Source organism: Homo sapiens, chromosome 16, assembly GCF_000001405.40.
Source record: "Homo sapiens chromosome 16, GRCh38.p14 Primary Assembly".
In the NCBI taxonomy this organism is placed as follows: domain Eukaryota; kingdom Metazoa; phylum Chordata; class Mammalia; order Primates; family Hominidae; genus Homo; species Homo sapiens.
In genome coordinates, this window is record NC_000016.10 from 56591504 (window position 1) to 56618897 (window position 27394).

General features: G+C 46.5%; 1 protein-coding gene, 1 long non-coding RNA gene and 1 pseudogene across 3 annotated transcripts, besides 4 other annotated features; 2 read left to right on the forward strand and 1 right to left on the reverse strand.

Annotated features, from left to right (window-relative positions):
• Positions 1-15405: 15405 nt before the first annotated feature.
• LOC124903695 (uncharacterized) lies at positions 15406-16930 on the reverse strand. Its single transcript, XR_007065079.1, has 2 exons — positions 16241-16930; positions 15406-15796 (listed from the first exon to the last, which is right to left on the reverse strand). It is a non-coding gene; the product is annotated as an uncharacterized LOC124903695 (long non-coding RNA).
• Positions 16817-17126: a silencer, noted in NCBI's record as "silent region_7510". NCBI's record gives its function as "represses an Ori minimal core promoter by ATAC-STARR-seq in GM12878 lymphoblastoid cells {active_cell/tissue: GM12878}" and the evidence as "EXISTENCE:reporter gene assay evidence [ECO:0000049][PMID:35858748]".
• Positions 17081-17994, forward strand: MT2A (metallothionein 2A). Its single transcript, NM_005953.5, has 3 exons — positions 17081-17180; positions 17489-17554; positions 17760-17994. The coding sequence occupies exons 1-3, from the start codon at positions 17153-17155 to the stop codon at positions 17849-17851; spliced, it is 186 nt and encodes a 61-aa protein (NP_005944.1). The 5' UTR covers positions 17081-17152; the 3' UTR covers positions 17852-17994.
• Positions 17167-17216: an enhancer, noted in NCBI's record as "active region_10852". NCBI's record gives its function as "activates an Ori minimal core promoter by ATAC-STARR-seq in GM12878 lymphoblastoid cells {active_cell/tissue: GM12878}" and the evidence as "EXISTENCE:reporter gene assay evidence [ECO:0000049][PMID:35858748]".
• Positions 18663-18782: a silencer, noted in NCBI's record as "silent region_7511". NCBI's record gives its function as "represses an Ori minimal core promoter by ATAC-STARR-seq in GM12878 lymphoblastoid cells {active_cell/tissue: GM12878}" and the evidence as "EXISTENCE:reporter gene assay evidence [ECO:0000049][PMID:35858748]".
• Positions 25661-26194: an enhancer, noted in NCBI's record as "H3K4me1 hESC enhancer chr16:56651076-56651609 (GRCh37/hg19 assembly coordinates)". NCBI's record gives its function as "activates a minimal SCP1, AML or CMV promoter by ChIP-STARR-seq in primed H9 embryonic stem cells {active_cell/tissue: H9 hESC(primed)}" and the evidence as "EXISTENCE:reporter gene assay evidence [ECO:0000049][PMID:30033119]".
• Positions 25958-27315, forward strand: MT1L (metallothionein 1L (pseudogene); annotated as a pseudogene). The gene is made up of 3 exons (NR_001447.2): positions 25958-26087; positions 26676-26741; positions 27086-27315. The product of NR_001447.2 is annotated as a metallothionein 1L (pseudogene) (transcript).
• The last annotated feature ends 79 nt before the right edge of the window (positions 27316-27394 follow it).

Consider the following 27394-nt stretch of genomic DNA (forward strand, 5'->3'; position numbering starts at 1 on the left):
GTCTGTTTGGGGCTGGGGTGGAGCCCAGGGGACAGAGTGCATTCTCCCCCACCTTCAGATGGCACCCCACCCTCCTGCTAAGTCAAGTTCAAGTCTGGGAAACAGGAGAGACCAGGCTCATCTAGGTTTGTCCCTCTCCAACCTCCAAACCTCAGCTTCCTCATCTGTAGGATAGAGTTAGGGGGAGTTAAGGCCAGCCCCTAGCCTGTAGGGCCTGTGAATTTGGGGATTTTCTAGTTGCTCCTGCAAAGCTGCCTGTTTTCAGAGTTATTAGAGGAGAGTCCAGGAGGCCCAGGGGCTTGTCTTGGCTGACTGTCAGCTGCATTCCCAAGGTCACCACCCTGAATAGCCTGTTTCCCCAAAGCACGTTGTTCAGTTCCCTTTCACATCTTCTCATTTGGCGGTTTGTCTCCAGCCCCTCCTGTCTTCAAGAGGAAGTAGGGTAATAAGAGCTTTTATCCACAGTGGTTGTGATCCAGTCCTTGGTGAAAGAGAACACTCAGGTTTACCTAGGTGAGCTAAGAAGGGAGAAATGAATTCTGGGAAACAAAAGTTTCCCAGTAAGAGGATACAATGCTGTGAACACAACACTTTTCCTCCAAGTTAGTTTTTTGCTGACAGTTATTTCAAAAGCTCACCATATATATATATATATATATATAGCCTAACAGGCTGAGTTTAGAAAAGGAGAATGCAAGGAAAGTCAAGCCAGCTTTGAAAAGGAACAACAAAGGGAGCTCGCTCCAACCTGGTAGCTCCACTCGTTCCCAAAGCTCTGGAAAATTGTGGAGGGTCAGGAAGAGATCAGTTGGACTGAAGACAGTTCAAAAACAAACCTCTGTGTTGCTGGAAGTAAGAGATGATCAAACCAGTGGGAAAGTACACACTACTCAGTGAAAGGTGTTGGAACAATTTACATGTCTGGCTAATTTTTGTAGAGATGGGGTTTCACCATGTTGCCCAGGCTGGTCTCGAACTCTTGAGCTCAAGTGATCCACCTGCCTTGGCCTCCCAAAGTGCTGGGATTAGAGGCAGACTTTTTTTCTTTTTCTCAGGCTGGAGTGCAGTGGTGCCATCAGGGCAGTGTGGACCTCCAGGGCTCAAACAATCCTCCCACCTCAGCCTCCCGAGTAGCTGGGACTATAGGTGCATCCCATCACTCCCAGCTAATTTTTTTTTTTTTTGGTAGAGGCTGGGTTTTGCCAGGTTGCCAAGGCTATCAGTATGATTTTTAACTTCATTTTACAGATGGGGCAGTAGGGGTTGGGGAAATTTGCATGAGGACACACAGCTAGAGTGGTGTGGTATAGCCAGGATTTGAATACAGGCTGTCTAACTATAGGGTAGCCCCCTAAACTTAAGCACGCATTGTTTTCTTGCTTCTGGCTTGCCTCGTGTTACAAAAAGCATAAAAAAAGAAGCAAAATCACCTCATATACACTACGATGGCTAGTATCGGAAAAACAAAATTAAAAGTGTTAGCCAGAATGTAGAGACATTGGAACCCTTGTGCCTTGCTGGTAGGAATGTAAAATGGTGCAGTGCTGTGGAAAACTATAGTTCCCAAAGTTAAAAATAGAATTCCATATGATCCAGCAATTCCACTTCTAGGTATACCGCAAAGAATTGGAAGCAGAGTCTTGAAGTGGTATTCTTATACACATGTTCATAGGATTATTTATAATCACCAAAAAGTGGAAGCAACCCAAGTGTCCATTGACAGATGAACAGATAAACAAAGTGTGTTATATACATACAAAGGAATATTATTCAACCTTAAAAAGCAAGGAAATTTGACATATGCTACAACATGAATGAATCTTGAGGACATTATGCTGAGTGAAACAAGCCCATCACCCAAAGACAAATTCTGTGTGACTCCATGCGTATGAGACACTTAGAGCCGTTATAGTCTATCTACACAGAGACAGGTGTAAGTGTAGGATGGAAGTTGCTGGGGCTGGAGGGAGGGATGATATGGTTTGGCTCTGTGTCCCCACCCAAATCTCATCTCATATTGTAATCAGGGGAGGGACCTGGTGGGAAGTGACTGGATCATGGGGATGGTCTCCCTCATGCTGTTCTCATGATAGCTGATGGTTTTGAAAGAGTTCGGCAGTTCCCCCTCTGTCCTCTCTCTCTCCTGCCACCCTGTGAAGAAGGTGCTTGCCTCCCCTTTGCCTTCTACCATGATTATAAGTTTCCTGAGGCCTACCCAGCCATGCGGAACTGTGAGTCAATTAAATCTTTTTTCTTTACAAATTACCCAGTCTCAGATAGTATCTTTATAGCAGTGTGAAAACAAACTAATACAAGGTGGGAATTGAGAGTTGTTTAATCAGTACAGAGTTTCAGTTTTGCAAGATGAAAAGGGTTCTGGAGATGGGTCGCAGAGAATCTGAATATACTTGTCATTACTGAACTGGACACTTAAAAATCTTTAAGATGGCAAATTTTATGTCATCGTATTTTACAATTTTAAACAACAAACAAAGCTAAATGACGAAGGACAATAGTTTCTATTAATATACTGTGTGCTGTGGATTTAATTGTGTCCCCTCAACAAAATTCATGATGAAGCCAAAAGTCCCAATGTGACTGTATTTGGAGACAGGGTTTATAATGAGGTAATTTAGGTTAAATGAAGTTACAGGGGTGGGGCCCTCCAACTATAGGGTTAGTGTCCTTGTAGGGGAGTCACCAAGAGTTCACTTGCTCACTCTCTCCTCTTGTGCACAAAGAAGAGGTCACGTGAGTACACCTCTTCTTTGTGAAGATGGCAAGATGGGGGCGGCCTATGAGCCAGGACAAGAAACTGACCATGCTGGCACCTTGATCGTGGACTTCCAGCCTCCAGAACTGTGAAAATATAAATCTGTTGGTTAAGCTGTCCAGTCTACAGTATTTTGTTATAGCAGCCCGAGCTGACTCATATAGTGTGTGTATATAGTAGTCCCCGCTTATCCACAGTTTCACTTTCCAGTTACCTACAATCAACTGCAGTCCAAAAATATTACATACAATAAGATGTTATGAGATGAGAGAGGGAGATCACATTCATATAACTTTTATTACAGTATGTTGTTATAATTGTTCTATTATTTGTTCATCGCTTATTGTGCCTAATGTATAAATTAAACTTCATCATACATATGTACACATAGGAAAAAACATAGTATATATAGGGTTCGGTACTATCCACAGCTTTGGCACCCACTGGGGATCTTGAAAGTATCCCCTGTGGATAAGGGGTACTACTGTCTACGTACATATTGATCTTTTGTACACATACACACACACGTTTGACAAAAGATCATTATCTACAATATATAAATAGTTTCTATTAATAGATAAGAAATAGATGACAATTTAAAAATTAGGCAAAAGGCCGGGTGCAGTGGCTCACGCCTGTAATCCCAGCACTTTGGGAGGCCAAGGTGGATGGATCACCTGAGGTCAGGAGTTCGAGCCAACATGGCAAAGCCCTGTCTCTACTAAAAATACAAAAATTAGCCAGGTGTGGTGGCGGGTGCCTGTAATCCCACCTACTTGGGAAGCTGAGGCAGGAGAATCACTTGAACCCAGGAGGCGGAAGTTACTGTGAACCAAGATCGCGCCATTGTACTCCAGCCTGGGCCACAGAGCAATACTCCATCTCAAGAAAAGAAAAAAACAAATTAGGCAAAGGATATAACTAAGGAATTCATGGAAAAATAAACTCCAAAGGCTAAAGAACAAATGAAATGAAATAGAATCAATGTTTTACTTCATTCTATCAAGGAAATAGAAACTAAAATAACATTTTGTCATTCACTTGGCAAAATCATAAAAGGTTGTTATTTTTTATTAATAGTGAGGGGTGGGGGACTGGTTACATACCTCCATCCTCTGCTGGAGTGTAAATAGGTACAGCCACTTTGGGGATATACCTACTTAACAGTAGTTACTGAAATTTAACAAGTATATACCTTCACCCAGGACTGTATTATCATCTGTATCAGCAGAAGTCTCAAAACAAGCTAAATACCCTTTAGTAGAGAAGTAGTTTTTAAAAATGATCATAATGAGCCAGGTGCGGTGGCTCGCGCCTGTAATCCCAGCACTTTGGGAGGCCGAGGCAAGCAGATGACGTGAGGCCAGGAGTTTGAGACCAACCTGACCAATATGGCGAATCCCCATCTCTACTAAAAATACAAAAATTAGCCAGGTGGTGGTACATGCCTGTAATCCCAACTACTCACGTGGCTGAGGCAGGAGAATTGCTTAAACCCAGGAGGTAGAGGTTTCAGTGAGCCAAGAACACCCTACTGTACTCCAGACTGGGGAAGAGCCTGTCTCAAAAAAAAAAAAAAATCATAATGAACATCTAATAGAAAGAATGAGGTAACGCTTGGATAATGCAGTGGAAACACCTCCACAACTTACCATTAAGTGAAAGAAAAAAAAAAGAAGAAGCCGTAGAACAGAGTGTATCATATAATGCTAAACAATACTTATAGTATAATGCCAATTATGTAAAAAGAGAAATAAAAACTCCACATTTGTGTATATATGAATACAAATGTATAGAAAGGGAATGGGATTTTCCAGGAGAATCAGGCGGGAGAATCTTTAGCTTTACATATATTAATGTTTCACTTCTGTTTGACTAATTTTTAAGTATGCAAGTGAATAGTACCACTTACCTTTTTTTCACTCAACAATATGTCTTGGCCAGGCATGGTGGCTCACGCCTATAACCCCAGCACTTTGAGAAGACAAGGTGGGAGAACCACCTGAGCCTAGGAGTTCAAGGCCAGCCTGGGCAACATAGTGAGAAGTGGGACCCCGTCTTTCCAAAAAATTAGAAAATGAGCCAGGCACGGTGGCACACACTTGTAGTCCTAGCTACTTGGGAGGCTGAAGTGGGAGGAACACTTGAGCCTGGGAGTTTGAAGGAGCAGTGAGCTATGATCGTGCCACTGCACTCCAGCTTGGGCAACATAGCACAACCCTGTCTCAAAAAAAAAAAAAAAAGAGAGAGAGAAAGAAAAAGAAAATGTCTTGACAATTTTTCCATGTTAAGAGATAAAGATCTAATAACTGCTACAGAAAACATCATGGAATGGTTATATCATAGTTCATTTTGCAACTGTCTTACAGACTCATGGATGGACATTTAGGTGGCTTCCACTTTTTTCAATATGCAGACTGTGCACCTGTGCCAGTGAGTTTCTCTGAGTTATAAGCTGAGATGTGTAATCACTGAAGCACAGGAAATAGCCCTTATTACTTTTCACATATCCTGCCAGACAGCCCTCCACTGAGGCTGTTCCAATTTGCATTCCACCTGCAGTGTCTGAGAATTTTCAGTGCTTTATCCCTCCATCAGACCTAGGTATTAACCTTACATTTTGTCGACCTGGTGGGTGAAAAATGACATCCTAGGTTCTAAATCGCATCTTTTCTTTTAGCAGTGAGGTTCAGCATTTTCCTACTGGTTTATTAGTTGTCATTTTCTGTGCACTGCTGTTTCACGCTCTTTGTTCTTTCTACATTCAGTTATTTGTCATTTTCTTATTGATTTGTAGAAGCTCTTTATATATTTTGGTCACTGATTGTCTTCCATCTGCTTTTCATTTTTCAGAAAGTTTTCAAAGTCTCTGGCCTCCTTGTGGTATTCTTTCATTTTTTAACACCCTTATCAATGTATAGTTTACATGTCATAAAATTCACCCATTGTAAGGGTACAATCCAATGACACTAGCAAATTTTTAGAGTGGTGAAACCAACTCCACAGTCCAGTTTTAGAACATTTCCATCATCCAAAAGTTCCCTTGTGCCTATTTGTAGTTAATCCCTGCTCCTACCCCACCCCTAGGCAACCACTGACTTGCCTTCTGTTTCTATAGGTTTGCCTTTTCTAGACATTTTATATAAATGGAATCATACAATATGTAGTCTTTTGCATTTGGCTTCTTTCACTTAACGTAATATTTTTGAGATTCATTCCACTTTGTTGTATGTCTTACTAATTTGTTCTTCCTTTACATTACTGAGTAGTGTTTAGATATTGTATTTTGTTTATCCATTCACCAATTGATGGACTTTTGAGTTGCTGTCATTTTTTGCTATTTTGGATGATAGCTATGTTTATAAATGGCCGTAAACATTTGTGCATGAGTCTTTGTGTGGATATATACATATATGTATATTTTAGAGATGGGGGTCTTGCTATGTTGCCAAGGCTGGCCTTGAACTCCTGGGTTCAATTGATCTTCCTACTTCAGCCTTCTGAGTAGCTGGGACTGCAGGTGCATGCCACTGTGCTCTGCTTTGCCATATATTTTTATTTCTCTTGGGTTGATATCTAGGAGTAGAATTACTGGGTCATATGGTACTAAAGTGGTTAACCACTTAACATTTCCACCAGCAATGCATAAGCATTTCAATTTCTGCACATTCTCACCAACACTTTTTGTTATCTATCTTTTTTATGATAGCCATTCTAGCAGGTATAAAGTAGTATCTCACTGTTGTGGGGTTTTTTTTGTTTTTTTTTTGTCTTTTTTTTTTGAGTCAGGGTCTCATTCTGTCGCCAGGCTGGAGTGTAGTGGCACGATCTTGGCTCACTGCAACCGCCGCCTCCCAGGTTCAAGTGATTCTCCTGCCTGAGCCTCCGGAGTAGCTGGGATTACAGGCGTGTGCCACCACGCCCAGCTAATTTTTGTTTTGTTTTAGTTTTGCCAGGATGGTCTCGATCTCTTAACCTTGTGATCTGCCCACCTTGGCCTCCCAAAGTGCTGGGATTACAGGCGTGAGCCACCACGCCCGGCCTCATTGTGGTTTTAATTTGCATTTCCCTAGTGACTCATGATGTTAAGCATCTTTTCATGTGCTTATTAGCCATTCATGTATTTTCTTTGGTGACATGTCTATTAGAAGATTTTGCCCATTTTTTCCTCTTTTATTGTGGTAAAATATACACAACATAAAATGTACCATTTTTAAGTGTACAGTGCAGTGGCTTTAAGTACATTTACATTGTTGTGAACCGTCACCATCATCCAACTCCAGAACTTTTCCATCTTGCCAAACTGAAACTCTATCCATAAAATACTAACTCCATGCCACCCCCCCATCCCCCACCGCCCAGCCCTGGGGCCACCATTTTACTGTCTGTCTTTGTGGATTTGACTATGTTACTTTCTTCATATAAGCTGGGATCATACAGTGTTTGTCCTTTTGTGTCTGGCTTATTTCATTTAGCATAATTTTTTTTTTTTGAGATGGAGTCTCCCTCTGTTGCCCAGGCTGGAGTGCAATGGCATGATCTTGGCTCACTGCAACCTCCGCCTCCCGGGTTCAAGCAATTCTCCTGCCTCAGCCTCCCGAGTAGCTGGGACTACAGGTGTGCGTCACCATGCCCGGCTAATTTTTGTATTTTTAGTAGAGACAGGGTTTCACCATATTGGCCAGGTTGGTCTTGAACCCCTGACCTCGTGATCTGCCCACCTCGGCCCCCCAAAGTGCTGGGATTACAGGTGTGAGCCACCGCACCCAGCCATCATAACATTTTTAAGGTTCATCTATGTTGTAAGATGTGTTAAAATTTCATTCTCTCTTAAGGCTGAATAAATTTTCCATTGCATGTCTATACCATATTTTGTTTATCCATTCATTCATCAATGGACGCTCAGGCTGTTTCCATTTTTTGGCTATCATGTGTAATGCTGCTATGAATATTGTTATACAAATATCTGTTTGAGTCCCTGCTTTCAATTATTTTGAGTATGCATTTTTGCCAGTTTATTTTTATTTATTATTATTATTATTATTATTATTATTATTATTATTATTATTTGAGACAGAGTCTTGCTGTTCCTCAGGCTTGAGTGCAGTGTCGTGATCTCGGGTCACTGCAACCTCTGCCTCCCGGGCTCAAGCAATTCTCGTGACTCAGCCTCCCGAGTAGCTGGGACCACAGGCGCATGCCACCACACCTGGCTAATTTGTTTTTGTTTTTGAGACGGAGTCTGACTCTGTTGCCCAGGCTGTAGTGCAGTGCCATGATCTTGGCTCACTGCACCCTCTGCCTCCCGGGTTCAAGCGATTCTCTTGCCTCAGCCTCCTGAATAGCTAGGATTACAGGTGTGTACCACCACACCTGGCTAATTTTTGTATTTTTAGTAAAGACGGGGTTTTGCCATGTTGGCCAGGCTGGTCTCGAACTCCCGACCTCAAGTGATCCACCCACCTCAACCTCCCAAAGTGTTTGGATTACGGGCCTTGCCCTTTTTAAAATACCATTGTTTGTATTATTGAATTATAAGAGTTCTTTATATATTCTGGATACCAGTCCTTAATCAGATATATGCTTTGTAAATGTTTTCTCCCAGTCTTCTGGGACTGTCTTCTGATTTTATTAATGATGTCTTTGAAGCACAAAACTTTTTAATTTTGAGAAAGTCCAATTCATCAATTTTTTTCCTTGATAAATTGTGATTATGGTATCATATCTAAGACCTCTTTGTTTAACCTAAGGGCATAAAGATTTCTCGTATGCTTTCTTCTAAGTGTTCTATGTTCTATAGTTTTAGCACTTAAATTTAAGTCTATGATCCATTTTGAGTTAATTTTCATGTATAATGTGAGGTAAAAATCTAATTTCTTTTTTTTTTTTTTTTGCATGTGGATATTCAGTTGTCTCAGTATCATTAGTTTAAACGTCTACCCTTTCTCTATTGAATCGTTTGGAGATCTTTGTCAAAATTCAATTGACCATACATGTGATTTCCTTTTAGACTTTCGATTCTGTTCCATCGATCTATGCCTGTCCTTGTACCAATACCACACAGCCCTGATTACTGTGGCTTATTGTAACTTTTGGAATTGGATAGTGTGAGTCCTCCAACTTTGTTCTTTTCCTGGTTGGGTTCTTCTTTAACTTCTGCCATTCAGCCTTTTAACGAATGACCTTTTCTGACTTTGCATGGGATTGGGCACGCACAGGAGACGTACATATCCACTGAGTCTGCATCTCAACCCAGCCCTCCACACCATTTCATCACAAAAATATTTATGGATGCCCAAAAGTCACCATGCCCTCTGCTGGTCACTGGGGATACATGAAAAGAAACAGTCTCTGCCTTTCGGGGAGCTCACAGACTGATGGGGAGGATAAGACCGTTGCAAGAACAACCTGAGTGGAATCCTGGATGCTTTAGAGCTGGAAGAAAAGCCCAGGCCAAGGCACGTAGGCTGTGCTCATTTGATAGATGGGAAGACTGTGGCTCAGGGAGGGAGGGGAGGTGAAACCCAAAATCTCTGGGGGCTTTAAGAAGAGAGATGGTCAGGTGCAGTGGCTCATGCCTGTAATCCTGGCACTTTGGGTGGCCAAAGCAGGAGGATCATTTGACGCCAGGACTTTGAGACCAGCCTGAGCAACATAGTAAGACTTCTGTCTCTACGAAAAAATGTTTAAAATTAGCTGAGCATGCTAGGGTATGCCTGTGGTCCAGCTACCCGGGAGGCTGAGGCAGGAGGATTGCTTGAGTCTGGGAGCTTGACGCCACAGTAAACCATGACAGAGTCACTGCACTCCAGCCTGGGTGATAGAGTGAGACCCTGTCTCAGAAGAAAAAAAAAAAAAAAGAAGGGAGAGATGCCATTAGGTTGGGGGCTCAGTAAAGACTCCTTGGAGGAGAGGGCATTTGGGGGATGGTAGAAGAGGAGCAAAAACATGGAGTGTGTGTTTGGAGAAGGGTGTGGCATGGCAGGGTCTGACCCAACAGCAGAAGCACAGGGCTTGGGGACAGGTAAGACAGAGAAGGAAAGTTGAGGCCAGATGGGTGAGGAAGGGATGATGCAGCAGGAATTTAGCTTCTCTCTGAATGCAGGTTTTCCAAGCTGGCTCTCCACAAGGCAGGCCTTGCCCTTCACAGAGCCTCCTTCCAGCTCCTGGCAGGATCCGATTCTCTCCATTCCTCTGCATTATTAAGCACCCACCATGAGCCGGGCGCAGTGTCAGGTGCCAGAGCTACGACGGTGAATGCAGCAGGCACAGCCCACAGCCTCCTGGGGAGAAGGATTAAACAAAACGCCACACACAGCACCGGCTGCAGGGAGAGGCTAAGGGACAGAAGGCCAAGCTCTCAGGCTCTGGAGCTCCAACGCCTGGTGTGACCCTTTCCTAGTGAGTGACTGGCAGTGTTACTTAACCTCTCTAAGCCTCGGTTTCTCCCTCTGTCAAATGTGGATAATAACAGTCCCCATCTTATAGGGCCGTCGAAAGGATTGAGTTCACATATACAAAGAATTGAACAGCTGGCATGGGATGTGTGATATAGAAAAGTGTGAGCAGTTTGGGTGTGGTGAGTCACACCTGTAAGCCCAGTGCTTTGGGAGGCCGAGGAAAGAGCATTGCTTGTGGCCAGGAGTTCAAGACCAGCCTGGGCAACATAGCAAGACCCTATCTCTATTAAAAATTAATAAAAAGAAAAGTGTTAGCTTCTTTCTTACTAGCAACTGTAATTGCAATAAGTGCTACAAAGAAGGGATGTGCTTGCTGGTATCCGAGGGATTTGGCCTATTTGGGGTTCCAGGAAAGCTTTCCTGAGCAAATTGCCTTTAAACTGAGACCCACCAGATGAAGGAGACAGAGGGTTAGGGAGAGCATCCAAGACAAAGGAAACAGCACATGCAAAAAGCCTGAAGTCACATACATACCAGCGCCTTTGCCCAGTGGTAGCCAGGCTTTGAAGATGGTCCCAGTGATGCCAGACTCTGGTATTCGTGCCCTGGTGTAATCCCCTCCCCTTGAGCACAGCCTGGACCTAGTGACTTGCTTCTAAAGAACAGAATACTGAAACAGGGATGGGAGATCACTTCCGTGATTAAGTTACAAAAGATGATGACTTCTTAATTCAAATATTGGAAGAAAAAAAGAAGGGAGGAAGTTGTTTTCCAAATAATTTGGAAAGGGAGAAATATCTATTTTATGGAACAATGGAGAGTACTGAGAGAAGTGAAGGTTCACAAAGAGGATTTCTACTATATGGAAACAATCTTGTAGAATGAAAACCTCCATCTAGGTTGACTATAGGTTGTCAATGGTATGATTTTTCTGATGTTTATTTATTTATTTTTGAGGCAGAGTCTCGCTCCGTCACCCAGGCTGGAGTGCAGTGGCGCGATCTCGGCTCACTGCACCTCCACTTCCTGGGTTCAAACGATTCTCTTGCCTCCGCCTCCTGGGTTCAAGTGATTCTCCTGCCTCAGCCTCCTGAGTATCTAGGATTACAGGCATCACCACCACGTTCAGCTAATTTTTCTAATTTTAGTAGAGATGGGGTTTCACCATGTTGGCCAGGCTGGTCTCCAACACCTGACCTCAGGTGATCCACCTGCCTTGGCCTCCCAAAGTGCTGGGATTGAGGCATGAGCCACTGCACCTGGCCTATTTATTTATTTTAATTTTTTAAAAATAGAGCTGGAGTCTTGTCCTCCCTGCCCAGGCTGGAGAACAGTGGCACAATCACAACTTACTGCAGCTTCAACCTCCTGGGTTCGAGCAACTTCTAAAAATCTTTTGTGGAGACGGGGGTTTCACTGTGTTGCTCAGGCTGGTCTCAAACTCCTGACCTCAAGTGATCTTTCTGCCTCAGCCTCCCAGAATGCTGGGATTACAGGCGTGAGCCACTGCGCCCGGCCTAATTTTTCTGATGTTTTAAAATGAAAAATTTCCTCTTCATCCCTGCCCCATATGGCAGGGGAGAGAAGGGGACTATATCCTGCCCTGGGCCGCTATCATATCACTATTTGGAGGCCATGTGATTGAGATTCCATGCCTTGGATGCCTCTTGAATAAAGTTAGTATCATCTTTCACTAAGAATGAATGAATAAAAGACCATGACAATACAAAATTAGCTGGGCATGGTGGCGCACGCCTGAAATCCCAGCTACTTGGGAGGCTAAGGCAGGAGAATTGCTTCAACCTGGGAGGTGGAGGCTGCGGTGAGCCTAGATTGCGCCATTGCACTCCAGCCTGGGCAACAAGAGCAAAACTCCATCTCAAATAAATAAATAAATAAATAAACAAAATTAAAAAAAAATAAAACACCATGACTTCTTTCTTGCTCCCACCCTTGTTCTCACTCTTTGGCCCTCTCACTGGCTCGCTGTCCTGCGGTGAGATGCTCTGTGGAGGGACCCATGCGACAAGGAAGGAAGCCGCAGTACCATAGCCCACAAGGAACCAAATTCTGTCCACAACCACATGAGGGAGCTTGGAAGCAGATCCTGTCCCTGCTGACACTTGAGCTGACTGCAGCCCTGGCTGTCACCTTGATTGCTATCCAGGAGACATCCTGAGCCACAGGGCCTAGCTAAGCCTGTCTGATTCCTGCCCACAGAAACTATGAGATAGTTCATGTGTGTTGTCTTAAGCTGCTAAGTAATTTGTAATGCAACAAGATAACTAATACACCTCCAAAATGAAGGCAGTGTCCACTGAAGGAGGAAGAACTAAGAGCAGATAGATGGTACCTGTGATGGGAGCCACTGAGTCACAGAATCTCCTGGGGAAGAAGGAAACTAACCTCTTCCTATCCCCCTATTTAATGCTGGCATCTGCTGTCCTCTGCTGTGGTAACAGGGAACTATCTCCCAAGGAGTCCCTTCCACTCAAAATCAGCTCTAATTGCCAAGAAAGGCCTTTCTGGCTGGGTGCAGTGGCTCACACCTGTAATTCCAACACTTTGGAAGGCTGAAGTGGGAGAGCTGCTTGAGTCCAGGAGCTCGAGGCCAGCCTGGGCAATATAGTGAGACCCCATCTCGACCAAAAAAAATACAAAAAATTAGCCAAGTGTGGTGGCACACACCTATAGTCCCTTAGTCCCTGCTACTCAGGAGGGCTGAAGTGGGAGGATCTCTTAAGCCCAGGAGGTCAAGGCTGCAGTGAGCCATGGTCACACCACTGCACTCCAGCCTGGCAACAGAGCTGAGACCCTGTCTTTAAAAAAAGAAAAGAAAAGAAAGGCGATGGGAGGGGAGGGAAGGAGAGGAGAGGAGGGGAAAGACCCTGCTACCTAGAAAACAACCTTTATTCCTGTAACCTTACCCCACCCACTGCGATTGTCCTGATTCTGCCCTTAGGACCACAGAAAGCAAGCCTAATTTCCTCTTTTCAACATGGTATAAACATGTAGGTATGAGTTCAAATCCTAGCTCTGCCACTTACAAGCTGCGTTATCCTGAACAGGTCCCATAACTCTTCAGGGCATCATCTGTAAAATGGAGATAACAGCACCTGCCTTGTAGGGCTATGTTAGGCTTTAAGATAAACTCATAGTGTTCTTAGCACAAATCTTGAATTACAGCAGGTGCTCAATATTATTCCCCATGACTACTATGGCAGATTAGACATGCTTGAAATTTGTTGACTCCTCCCTTCAAGACAGGGGGTCTTGTTCCCCTCCTCTTGAATCTGGGCAGGTTCTGTCACTGCTTGACCAATAGAATATGGTGCAAGCGACCTGTGCTAGTTTCAGGGTCCAGGGCTTAAGAGACTTGCAGCTACCACTTCCATCTCTTGAAACTCTCAACTGTATGACCTGACTCTAATTGCCCTGAGGCCACCATGCTGAAGAAGCCACATGTAGAGCTCTGGTCAACAGTTCCAGCTGAGCCCAGCCTCCAGCCATCCCTGCCAAAGTGCCAGATGTGTGACTGAAGCCATCTTAGATTCTCCAGACCAGCCCATCCACCAGCCGAACAGCACCAAGTGACCTCAGCTAATGAAACAAAAGAATCGCCCAAGTGAGCACTGCTCCAACTCCAGACCCACGAATCCAGGAAAGACAATAAGATGGTCATTGTTTTAAGCTCCTAAATTGTGGGTAATTGGTTGCATAGCTACAGATAACTGGGGCAACCATTGCCAAATATTTGAAGGTAACTGTTCACTTCCAGATTGAACCTGCCTACCTCTCTCAGCTGATGCTCACATGATAGGGTTTTGGGCCTTAGGACCCCTGTGATCAGCTGTCTTCTGGACAATGGGAGCCCAACAATGAACACAGCCTTCAGGGCAGAGGGGGGTTCTGCCCAACTATGCCAGTTAGGACTCTATCTGGAATAATTTAAGCAAAAAAGGAAATGATTGGCTCATAATGGCTTCAGGCATGGCTGGATCCAGGTGTTCCAAGATATTGTCAGGCTCCATTTCCTTTGTGATTATTTTATTTTTGGGCTCTTCTCACGGAGCCAAAAAGCTTTAGAAACTCACTCAGCTTCACATTCTCTCAGGTACAAGTCCAGATGGAAAGACTATCTGCCATTCTCCCAGCATTCCCAGCAAAAGTATCACTGATTCTCTTTGGTTGGTGGCTGTGTGGCCCAATCAGAGCCAATTACTGTGACTAGGTAGGTGGAATGGCCTAGGAGCTCACAGATGGGACATACGCCATCAAAACCATATGGACTGGTAATAAGGAGGGGTAGTTCTTCAAAGGAAAACCAAGGATATCATCACAGGGGAAGGACAAGTGGATGGCTGGGCAGCAGATCTATATATATCCACCCCTGCAGCTAAAAGGAGAATGAAAAACATAACCTCTCTCATTCTACATGGCATACCTCTCTTAATGCAGCCCAGGGTCACGTCATCACTTCACATTGATGACTCACAACAGATATTCAGGGGGATGTTTTTCCTTATCTAATATCGCTTGGTTTCACTCCCTCATCCTCTGCCAAGTCAGGGATGCAAACATGCACATGGGTCCTCCCTCTTCACCTCTGTCCCAAGCACAGTGAAGCTTCTGGGGGCATGGAGATGAACAGACTAGGCCTGTGGCCTGCTCCACCTTCCCTGAGTCATTATCCTTCTCTCCCCTCAGAGTCAAAGTGATTCAAAAGAGACAGCTCAGGCCCACAAGCAAGTTTTACCGCCAACATGGCTGGCACAAACCCAGGGCTAGAACCAATGCTTTAGGGCTAGAACCAATGCTTTTGAGGGCAAAATAAGCCCTTCTGTTTCTTCACAGAGTTGGATTGTTTGCCTTGAGTGCATAGGTGACCATCTGAGTTATTAGCAACCAGGGATTTGGTATATAATACTGTGCATACATAAATAACAACAACAAAATTGGTCCACTGCCCAGAGAGCTCTCGATCCACAGAGCTGCCAGACATCATGAGATTTCAAAAGATCTTGGCTCTAAAATCAGAGGATGTTTGGATATAAATTCTAGTACAACCCAGTCATTTGACAGATGAGTAAACCAGGGATCAGAAGAGTCCAGGCATGTAATTGCCCCAAGGTCACTGAGTAAGTGAGTGGCCGAGTGACCACTGAAATTTAGTCCATCTGAGAGCTCGCCCCCCTGCCCTGTGCGGTGTTTTTACAAGAGTGAGCACGCAGGTTCCAGGGTGGTCAAGAGGTGTTTACTTTCATTTTGTAGTCGGCCTTCATACAAGGTGGGGGCTGGGAAGGGAAGAGCAGTCCAGGCCATTACCCCCATGAATTCATTTGACAAATATTTATTAAGCGTCTACTGCAAACTTGGCCCGGTGCTGGAAGCTGAAGACACAATTCCAGAGGCAGACAATGACTGCCCTTGGCATTTCCAGTGGTCAGGGGTTGGTGAGGAGGGGCAGAGACACCAATCCAAGAGTCCCCGCAGTTTATACATACCACAGGCACGGAAAGCGCCAGGAGGGGAAAGAACAGGATGTTTACCAGCACCTTCCACAGGCAGCCACGGTCATGGGGGTCAGGACAGGGTCCCCAGAGGAAGTGACGATTCGGCTGAGCTAGAAAGACATTTCCACAGGAACTTACAGTAAGGGCTGCAAGGACAGCCTGTCCTCCCCCGCCCACCACCTCACTAAACTTTCACTGTGGCAATCGGCATTCCCTAAGCCTGCCAGGAAGCTTCCAGTAACCACTTCCTGACTCCTAGCATGACACACTTCGGGCCTTCCAAGGTTGACGATCTAAGGCCCTTACACAGCGCCAGACACGCGCAGGCAGGGAGGCAGGATGTGCCTCTCCAGACAGGAATGTGGACGCCACCTGGGCTCTTCCCCTCAGCCTCCACAGGGGAAGAATATTCTTGTGGGGTTTTTCCCTTCCAAATGTCTCAGGGCGATTCCAGTGTTCCCGCTAGTTCCTCCCTCCCAGGCTAGAACACAAATCCTTCCCACTCCCTGCCTGGCAAACACCTTCTGACCCTCAGGCCCAAGGCAATGGCCCACCTCCTCCCAGGCTGGATGGGGTCTCCTCCTCTCTGTTCCCCCAGCCCCTGAGCTTCCTGAGGACCAAGCTTGTGGCTTCTTCTCCTTACTCTTCCTCCTTGGTGTCTCTATGTTAGAGGGCCGTTAGCATCTGCTGGGGCCTGGTCGCATTCACCCTGCTCTGCCACTCACTGGCTGTGTGACTCTGGACAAATTAACTTCTCTGGACCTGCAGTTTCTCCTCTCTACAATGAGAATACTGGAGAGTCCTTATCTTATGGGTTGCTACAGAATTAAGTGACATCTCACACACAACACACTTCCTACAGTCCCTGTTACACGCTAAAAGTACTCAACATGCAACGGATACGTCATCAGTAACCACCCCACGGGTTTACTGTGATGCTGCACAATTATTAAGCCTTGGCTGCTACAGAGTTGTAACCTGTCTGCACTTCCAACCGGTTTGGGAATGCAAGCAGCATTCCCAAGTCCCGCTTTCACCCGCGCGCTAACGGCTCAGGTTCGAGTACAGGACAGGAGGGAGGGGAGCTGTGCACACGGCGGAGGCGCACGGCGTGGGCACCCAGCACCCGGTACACTGTGTCCTCCCGCTGCACCCAGCCCCTTCCGCGCCGAGGCGTCCCCGAGGCGCAAGTGGGCCGCCTTCAGGGAACTGACCGCCCGCGGCCCGTGTGCAGAGCCGGGTGCGCCCGGCCCAGTGCGCGCGGCCGGGTGTTTCGCCTGGAGCCGCAAGTGACTCAGCGCGGGGCGTGTGCAGGCAGCGCCCGGCCGGGGCGGGGCTTTTGCACTCGTCCCGGCTCTTTCTAGCTATAAACACTGCTTGCCGCGCTGCACTCCACCACGCCTCCTCCAAGTCCCAGCGAACCCGCGTGCAACCTGTCCCGACTCTAGCCGCCTCTTCAGCTCGCCATGGATCCCAACTGCTCCTGCGCCGCCGGTAAGAGGCTGGGGATGCCCAGTGTAGACTGTAGCGCTAGAGAAGCAATTTCTGACCCCTCTTTCTTTCTCTGGTCACTCAATTTCAGGACAGGAGTTGCTCCTTCCCAAAGAGTTTTGGGGTATCTTTCTCTCCATTCTAGGTTATTCGGAGCCCCCTTTTTACCGTTAAGGAGATCTGAGTTAATGGCTTGCTCAAGTTCCCAGGAATCGGTTGTGGACTGAGGAACTCGGCCCCGGGCTCTTAGTACGCCGTCCCTTGTTCAGGTATCCAGGGACGGTTCTCACCTCTGTCTTTTCTCCTTGCAGGTGACTCCTGCACCTGCGCCGGCTCCTGCAAATGCAAAGAGTGCAAATGCACCTCCTGCAAGAAAAGTAAGTGGGATCCTCTCTTTCCTCTACCCCTTCCCTGTCCTCCAGCCTGTCCCCTCTCCACCATCCTCAGGGGAATTAAAGCAGTCTGGGGATGCCCCATTGCGCGGAAATTGTTGCCTCCTCAGTGATCCTTATCAGGGAGAGCAGGAATCCTTATTCCCGGTGTCGCTAGTACTCATCTCTGCCGCCTCCTGTCTGCCCCCAGGCTGCTGCTCCTGCTGCCCTGTGGGCTGTGCCAAGTGTGCCCAGGGCTGCATCTGCAAAGGGGCGTCGGACAAGTGCAGCTGCTGCGCCTGATGCTGGGACAGCCCCGCTCCCAGATGTAAAGAACGCGACTTCCACAAACCTGGATTTTTTATGTACAACCCTGACCGTGACCGTTTGCTATATTCCTTTTTCTATGAAATAATGTGAATGATAATAAAACAGCTTTGACTTGATTCTGTCTCTGGTTTCCTTTATATGCCTTAAAAATAACGGACTGGGGTGAGGGATTGAACTGGGAGGGCAGAGACCTGGGCTGTGGATGGAAATGTGAGCCGTTAAGAAAGAGTGCATTCTGGCAAGCCAGGCTACTGCACTGAGCTTCAGCTTCTGTAAAACTGAATGGCGCTGTGCCAGATCATATGGGAGCAGGAGGGACACATACATGATCACTTTCAGTTTCACGTCAAATGTGGCACAGAAACTTCTCCATTCCTCACTTTTACTTTCAATTTCCCTGCCCAACTTCAGTTCTTCGTGGGATTTTAGACTTGAAAGTGACTACAGAGGGTGAAATCCAACTCCCCAGTGGCTGGAATCTGACATCCGGTTTCCCAAACTCCCTGTGGGGAATGACCAGTTTTGTTTTGTTTTGTTTTGTTCTCCATTAGTCACAGACCTAAACTCTGGTAAAATAAGGAGTTAATAAGAAAATGAAAGTTTAAAAGACACAAAATACAAAGACAATTTTTTAGATTCAACAGGAACTTTTCAATAAATATATGAACAAATTAACATAGGAAAAATAAAAGAATTACCAACACTACACATTTGTCCAAGGGTGTGCATTGCATCCTGGAAACAGTTCTCAGACTGGCCCCAGTGCGTGGCTGGCACACCCTGAGCAGCACTGATCCAGACATCCCCACAAGGAACCGTCAGGCTTGTGCTGCCCAGTGTCACTGACAGGACACTCACTCGCACACCCCTGAGAGCTCCCTGTTTTGCCTTGGTTCTGAATCTTTGTAAGTTCCTCCCAAGGTCAGGCTGAATTTACTCCTCTCAAATTTCAGCCGTTGGCTACTTAAACCGTCAAAGTGGCTGGGGATGTGGAGGGAAATGCCCAGCATGTTCCCAGCAAGATGCAGTGTGTGTGATCATGGGTTGCAGAAGACGTTCTTCCTGTCTGCCCACGCAGGGGTGATGGCATTCAGCAGTTTGGAGGGTGTGGTGGCGCTCTTTAGAAAGGAGTGAAGCTCTGAGTGACTTGTAATTAAAGCCAACGGTTAGTCCCCCTGGCTATGCGGAGGGAATGTTATTTGATGTTCAGTCAAAGAGGAGGATGAGTGCCTTGGCCCAGGAATCAGGAGCACACTTGCCTGAAGGTGCTCCTTATAGAGTTTTAGAAGGCAACCTGAGCCAAGGGCATGGGTTTTCATGTCAGGCAGTCCTAGTTCACAGCCCACTTTACCACTTCCTGGCTGTGTGGCCTGGGCAAGTCACTCAACCTCTCTGAGCCTACATTTCCTCATCTGTAGAAAAAAGATGGTATCCCTATTTATGGATTAAATGAGATCTTGGCCTGGCTCCTGGCTAGGGTTTAATGACCACTAGGATCACTCTGTTTACATGGACTTTGTTGGAGACAGAATCTCTCTTGATAAGCTCTTGGGGAAAAACGGGTCTGGGAAGAATTACTCTGGGTCAGAGGCTGGGGAGTGGAATGAAGCTTTCCTGACTGTGTACCAGGGGGAGGGTGGATGACTTCCTGCACAAAGCCCTCTGGGATTAAGATGCTGCCACAGCATTTGAACAAACGTAAGAACCATTCTAATTTTTCCTATCATTTGAATACCCCATGAGCCAGTGAAAGAGTGACCGTGCAGGGACGAAACTGATTCTGTCATCTTCCAGATGTCATTTTCCCTTCCAAATGTCTCAGGGTGATTCCAGTGTTCCCGCTAGTTCCTCCCTCCCCAGGCTAGAACACAAATCCTTCCCCCTCCCTGCCTGGCAAACACCTTCTGACCCTCAGGCCCAAGGCAATGGCCCACCTCCTCCCAGGCTGGATGGGGTCTCCTCCTCTCTGTTTCCCCAGCCCCTGAGCTTCCTGAGGACCAAGCTTGTGGCTTCTTGCCCTTATTCTTCCTCCTTGGTGTCTCTATGTTAGAAGGCCGTTAGCATCTGCTGGGGCCTGGTTGCATTCACCCTGCTGTGCCACTCACTAGCTGTGTGACCCTGGACAAGTAACTTCTCTGGACCTGCAACCTGCCCAAGGTCACTCAGCTTAGAAGTCAGAGGCTGGAACCTTCACTACAGTTGGCCTCTCATCTTGGCTACAGCTGGCAGATCATGATGTCACTGGGCTCTAAGCCCTGCCTCTCAGAGTTCAGAGCTGGGTCAGCCCTTGGTCAGTTAGTCCAATTGTGTCCCTGGCTTGAGAGGTGGCATACTGAAGCCAAGAGAGGTCACAGAGCTATGCAGAGAGCATGACTGCCAGCTCAGTGCTCTTTCTACTGCTGCCTCACTGCCAGATTTTCAGTGTCCTTGTTTTTCACGGAACATGGTGACATAGGGTGGTGGTTGAGGGCATTATGATGCAGTCAGCATGCATTGGTGCAAAACCTAGCTGTGTCACTTATACCTGAGTGACACAACCTCTCTGTGGCTCAGTCTCCTCTACTGTAAGATAGGCTGAATAATAGGGTCTGGCTGGTGACAGCAAATGACTTAATACATGCAAAGAACTTAGAATGGCACCTGCCATGTATCAAGCAGACTACAATATTATCTATGATTTTATTTTATTTTGTTTTATTTTATTCTATTTTATTTTATTTTATTTTTTTGAGACAAAGTTTCACCCTGTCACCCTGGCTGGAGTGCAGTGGGGTGATCTCAGCTCACTGCAACCTGCACCTCCTAGGCTCAGGTGATCCTCCCATCTCAGCCTCCTGAGTAGCTGGGACTACAGGCACATGCCACCCCACCTGGTTAATTTTTATATTTTTAGTAGCAATGAGGTTTCACCATGTTGTCCAGGCTGGTCTTGAACTTCTGGGCTCAAGTGATCCGCCCACCTCTGGCTCCCAAAATGCTGGGATTACAGACATGAGCCACCACACCCAACCTAGCTATAATTTTATTATCTTTATTCATAGCATAGGGACGTTTTTCTACCTCCAGACCAATAAGCCAGGCCTGCTGTTCCTAGCCATGTGAGCTCTACATTCCTCATCAACTATCTGAGCATGTTAACTGTGGTCCAGAGAGTCTTCAGTCTTCCCGTGAAATTCTGATCAGCACTGGACATAGAAAACCATGAGCAGGACAGTCCACGCCCTTGTGGTACATACAAACAGATGCCTGCCATATCTGCTACCACCTACACCACAATTTTACCTAAAAATTCTCCTTTAAATGATTCATATTTTCCAAGATATATTTGTATTACTCATGGTTTTCCCCAAGACACAGAACCAATAAAATGTCCCTAGATAGATAGTGATAAAAAGAAAGCTTTAAGAAATTAGCTGATGTGATTGTGGGGATGGCTGGTCTAAACTTTGCAAGGCTGGCTGGCAGCATGGGAATTCTGTCAGAAGTTGATGTTACAGTCTTTCATCTGAAGGCGGTCTACAGGTAGAATTCCTTTCTCTTCCAGGGACCTCAGTCTTTCCTTTTAAGGCCTTCAACTGATTGGATGAGGCCCACACACATTATAATGAGTAATCTGCTTTATTCAAAATGTATTGATTTATTTTATTTTATTTTTTGAGACAGTCTAGCTCTGTCACCCAGGCTGGAGTGCAGTGGTGCGATCTCAGCTCACTGCAACCTCTGCCTCCCGGGTTCAAGCAATTCTCCTGCCTCAGCCTCCCAAGTAGCTGGGATTACAGGCATGCACCACCATGCTAATTTTTGTATTTTTCAAAGAGCAGCTAATTTTTGTATTTTATTTAACAGATTAAGCAGCTAATTTTTGTATTTTTAACAGAGAAAGGGTTTCACCATGTTATCTAACTCCTGGCCTCAAGTGATCCACCCACCTCAGCCTCCCAAAGTGCTGGGATTATAGACATGAGCTACCATGCCCAGCCAAAACCTACTAATTTAAATGGTAATCAGGTCTAAAAAACACTTTCACAGCAACATCTATATTAATGTTTGACCAAGCAACTGGGTATGATAACCTAGCCAAGCTGACCCATAAAACTAACCATTGCAGTCCACCACTTGTTAATTTGGCATACATAAACATCTCCTTAAACTATACTTAATGTTAAAACAAGGTCACACCTCCACCTAATGTGAAACAACTGTCCTGTGTATGCCTGAAATGACACAAACTCTCTCCCCAAAAGTGACTGCAAAATCCTTGAGGAATGTTCCTTGACATCCTATAACTTAAATACTATGATATAAAGTTAGCAATATTTAAATATTGTGATGTAAAGTTAATACATCCTCTGTTACATGACAAAGGGATAAGAGATGGAAGAAAACAAAAATATTTGCCACACATGCATACACACACACACACACACACACACACACACATTTATAACAACATAATGAAGAAATACCCATAACAATGACATTCCTCATTTCCTTACCTGTAACTGGTCACATGGTCATAGCTGCTATTTATAACTTTCTTCTTTTATGACCTATTATTCCATTTGCTTTCAGTAAACACCTCAGCCAATGGTGGTTCTTTACTTGGTGGGGTGACCTAAACCTTCATTCTGGAAGGGTCTGGGCCATGCATTCCTGTCCCAGTTGGGTTGTTAAAGTTTTCCATTGGCTTCAATCACAGGACATGGTAGTAATAAGAGACACCCTAAGGGATCTCTTGTATTCCAGACATCCTCCTCCTTACCTTGATTGCAGAGATTGTGATTACCAAGAAGTAGCCACAATCACCCTAGCCAGAATAGTGACTCCTTTCTTTGCCTGTTTTGTTGTTGTTGTTGTTGTTTCTTTTCTTTTCTTTTCTTTTCTTTTTTTTTTTTTGAGACGGAGTTTCGCTTTTGTTCCCTAGGCTGGAGTGCAATGGCACGATCTCAGCTCACCACAACCTCCGCCTCTTGTGTTCAAGCAATTCTCCTGACTTGCCTCCTGAGTAGCTGGGATTACAGGCATGCACCACCATGCCCGGCTAATTTTGTATTTTTAGTAGAGATGGGGTTTCTCCATGTTGGTCAGGCTGGTCTCAAGCTCCTGACCTCAAGTGATCCACCTGCCTCGGCCTCCCAAAGTTCTGGGATTACAGGTGTGAGCCACAGTGCTGGCCTCTTTGCCTGTTGATCCAGAAGTCTAAGGACTCAATGTGGCCTGGTGGGAGTCATAACTTCCAGTTTGATGGAATCATTGTGTCTCCCAAGGAAGCATTCCTCCTTTTGGACTAATACCTTGAGACCAGTAAAGCATAAAGTCATGGGGACAGGAAGCAGATATTTTGATTCTACAGATGAGTAAGATTTTTGTAGGCTGACTCCTCTATTTGCTCATACAACCACCATGATCAACTAGCCAACACCACAGGTCTCTGTGACTCATACTATTCTTTTTATTTGAGATAGGGTCTCACTCTCTCATCTAGGCTGGAAAGCAGTGTCACCAACATGGCTCACTGCAGCCTCAACCTCCAAGGCTCAAGTGATCCTCCCACCTCAGCCCCCAAAGTAGCTACAACTACAGGCAGGCACCAACACATCCAACTGATTTTTGTATTTTTGGAGGGGTAGAGACAGGGTTTCGCCATGCTTGTCAGGCTGGTCTCAAACTCCTGAGCTCAAGTGATCCACCTGCCTCAGCCTCCCAAAGTGCTAGGATTATAGGCGTGATCCACTGCACCTGGCCTGCAAGTCATCCTATTCTGCTTTGACTGTGCCATCCATGACAATAACCAGGCCCATGCTGCCTTTGGCAATTAAGTGCTGTCCTTTGGCCCCTGCCACATTGGGGCCAAATTATTGCCATTGCATATAGGATTCCCAATTCAGTGGCAGCAGTTTCCACTGAATTTCTACCTGCAGAAAAGAGTGACCACAGAGCTCTTCCAGGATGCTAGGGCGCCCCTCACAAATTTATTTCTCACAGATGTGGTGAAAGTGGTGTCCTTTGGACACTCCCAGGTTGAATGGGCAGGTAACACTTGATAAATCCCCTCTGATGTCTGTTTTACTCAAAGACTACTGATTTAAATGTTAATCACATCTTAAAAAATAACTTTGCTGCAATATCTAGGCTGGTATTTGACCAAGGAACTGGGCACTTTGCCTAGTCAAGTTGACACATAAAATTAATCATCACATATATTTAAATGAACGCAAAGTCTTTACCAATGCTAAAATCAAGAATCAGTCTTACTTACAGACATATCGATTACTCTAATGTGTATTTTGTGTATATACACATATTTAATAAATTTCCCATCTCCATCACTTTTCAAGCTGTCCAGGGTCGAGATTGATGCTTCTCCCTGATTAAAAAATTTCTCTTTTTTTTGTTTTGAGACGGAGTCTCGCTCTGTCACCCAGGCTAGAGTGCAGTGGCGCGATCTTGGCTCACTAGAAGCTCCGCCTCCCGGGTTAACACCATTCTTCTGCCTCAGCCTCCCGAGTAGCTGGGACTACAGGCACCAACCACCACGTCCGGCTAACTTTTTGTATTTTTTTAGTAGAGACGGGGTTTCACCATATTAGCCAGGATGGTCTTGATCTCCTGACCTCATGATCCGCCCGCCTCGGCCTCCCAAAGTGCTGGGATTGCAGGCATGAGCCACCGTGCCCGGCCCCTGATTAAAAAATTTCAAGCAGACCAGCACAGGGGCTCACGCCTGTAATCCCAGCACTTTGGAAAACCAAGGTAGGTGGATCACTCGAGCCCAGGAGTTTGAGACCAGCCTGACTGAGCAACATGATGAAATCTTGTCTCTACAAAAAAAAAAAAAAAAAAAAAAAAAAAAAAAAAAGAGCAAAAAATTAGCCAGGCATGATGGCCTGCACCTGTAGTTTCAGCTACTCGGGAGGCTGAGGTGGGAGGATAGATTGAGCCCAGGAGACTGAGGCTACAGTGAGCCATGATCTCATCACTGAACTCCAGCCTGGATGACAGAGTGAGACCCTGTTTCAAAACAATGATAATAATAACAATTGTAAGCAGCACAGTGGTGTTGAAGACATATCTCGACCAAAAGAAATCGTTATGTTTTCTTTCCTCCTCTTGGGAAGCTGGCTGGATTCAGGTAGAGTGGCACCATTTCACAGAGCCATAACCTTGGGCAAATTACTAAGGCTCTTTGTGCCTTAGTTTTTCCATTGGAAAAACGTGTTTAGAATAGTATTTCCCTTTTATTGTTCTTGAGGGGGCTCAAAAAACTAAAGTGATTAAACAGACTCACGCAGATTGTTGTGTAATAGGAAAATTGAAAGGTAAATAATCACTTCTTGCTTTCTTATTTAACGTAGGTTCTGCATCCTCCGGATCTGGAGTCACCTAAGCAGATCCCGCCCTTGGGAGCACTCCGCATTTTCAGGACTACTCTCCTGGAGTTGGGTGGGCGCGCTAGGGGCTTTGGAGGAGCCCCTGCAGAATTTTATGTAAAGGAGGCCCCAGACAAATGTGCCCATACAACCTCTCAGGAATGGGGAATGGAAGGGAGGGCTCGCCTCCACCGTGTTGCTGGGCTCAAGAGAAAGTGGCAGAAGGACCATGGCGGGGATAGTGACAGGCAATGCTGGAGGGCAGGAGGACAGAAAGTAAGGGTCACGTCCATGACTGTTCTCTGCACACAACTCCCTCGCTGCGCTCCCCAGCTCAGGCCTACCCAGGGACGAAGCTGGGGTTGCACACCGGCTCCGGGAATGGCGAAATACCGCAGATGGGGTGGTGGGGGTGGGAATATCGCGACCACCAGAGGCTGGGTTCCCGGAACGCTCGGGGACGGAGATGGCCAGCAACCACAAGGAAATGGGGAATATGGGGAAGTTGCGCGGGCAGGACGGCACGGACGCCGCGGACGACCGGGCGCACAGGCCTGAGCGAGCGAGCGAGTGAGCGGGTGCCAAGCAAGAGACCCGCGGTGCACACCTTGCGCCCGGCCGGCCTGCTGCTCACAGTCCCTCCACGTACCCACAGGAGGCCCAGACTCAGCGGGGCGGGTGCAAGCGCGGGGCGGGGCCTCTGCGTCCGGTCCCATCTCCGCCTGCAAAAGGAGCAGCTGGCTCCAGGCTCCAACGTGCCTTCCAGCTGCCTGACTGCCTCTTCGCCTCTCCCGTCATTTCTTGGCTCGAAATGGACCCCAACTGCTCCTGCGCCACTGGTAAGGGAACCCCGGCTCTGCGCCTGGGAATGCCCAATTCCCAGCCACAGTACAGTGTCCCTGCGTTTGAGGAGGTCGCATTTTGAGCTCTGAGCAGACGGGAACCCTTTACTTCGTCCAGTACTTTCTTCTTGGAATAGCTCCTGAGAGCATTGCCCTCCTCACTGTGCCTCTATGTCAGAGTTGAGTGTCCTGAGGCTCAAGGCTGTCCTGTTTCACATCACCTGGTTGATCAGGGGGCTGCTGGCCAAGCCCCAATGCTCTGTCTAGGCTCTAAGCAAGCAGGGTGGGTGGGAGGCAGGGAACACTGTCTTTGAGATTCAGGACAGGAGGTTTTGGCCCCCAATCCCAGTCCTCCTGTGTTGTGTGTGTATCTGGGACCTTCCTGGTGGGGTGAAATAGGAGGGTGCTTGCCCTTCCCAGCACGAGTGGAGAGGACATGGGGCTTGTCTTTCTCTGCTCTAAGTGGGAAAGGAGCTCTGAGGGCTGGCCCTGCACAGAGGATGGCGCACACTGGAGACTCATTGACCCACTGCTGTACCTTCTTCCTCTCACTCACTGCCCACTGCGTTTTTCTCTTCCTTGCAGGGGGCTCCTGCTCCTGTGCCAGCTCCTGCAAGTGCAAAGAGTGCAAATGAACCTCCTGCAAGAAGAGTGAGTGCGGGGCCATCTCCAGGAATCTGGGGCTGTGGCTAAGGTTGGGAGGGAACTCCAGGCTGGCCTGGAGTGCATGCTTCTGGGGAACGCCTTTCTTTGCCCCTGTTGGCCATGTCATTCCCTCTCCAGGCTTTCTGCTCTGAGCTCGAATGTGGCAGGGCAGCCTTTTTCTTTTGAGACACAAACTCCAAAGGTACCACCTGCGGTCTTAGAACAGAGCTGTACCAACCTAAAAAATCATCCTCTGGGTCTGGAGTCTGAGCTCGAACCAGGCCTGCTGTTGGGCCAGGGAAGTGCCTGATTGAGTCCGCTCTGACCTCTCACTCTCCCTTTTCCCCCAGGCTGCTGCTCCTGCTGCCCCATGGGCTGTGCCAAGTGTGCCCAGGGCTGCGTCTGCAAAGGGGCGTCGGAGAAGTGCAGCTGCTGTGCCTGATGTGGGGACAGCCCTGCTCCCAGATGTAAACAGAGCAACCTGCACAAACCTGGATTTTTTTTTCATACAACCCTGAGCATTTGCTACATTCCTTTTTCTATTAAATATGTAAACGACAATAAAACAGTTTTGACTTGATTCGGACCCTCCTTTCCTTTGTGTGGCTTTGAATTAATGGACCAGGGTTAGGGATTGAACCTGGAGTTTAGAGACCCAG

Excerpts from the sequence above, each read along its gene's own strand:
- MT2A (NM_005953.5), top strand. The coding sequence starts at position 17,153 with ATGGATCCCAACTGCTCCTGCGCCGCCG. Across the intron at positions 17,181-17,488 it reads CAACTGCTCCTGCGCCGCCG|GTGACTCCTGCACCTGCGCC; the intron begins GTAAGAGGCTGG and ends TTCTCCTTGCAG. Across the intron at positions 17,555-17,759 it reads ATGCACCTCCTGCAAGAAAA|GCTGCTGCTCCTGCTGCCCT; the intron begins GTAAGTGGGATC and ends GTCTGCCCCCAG.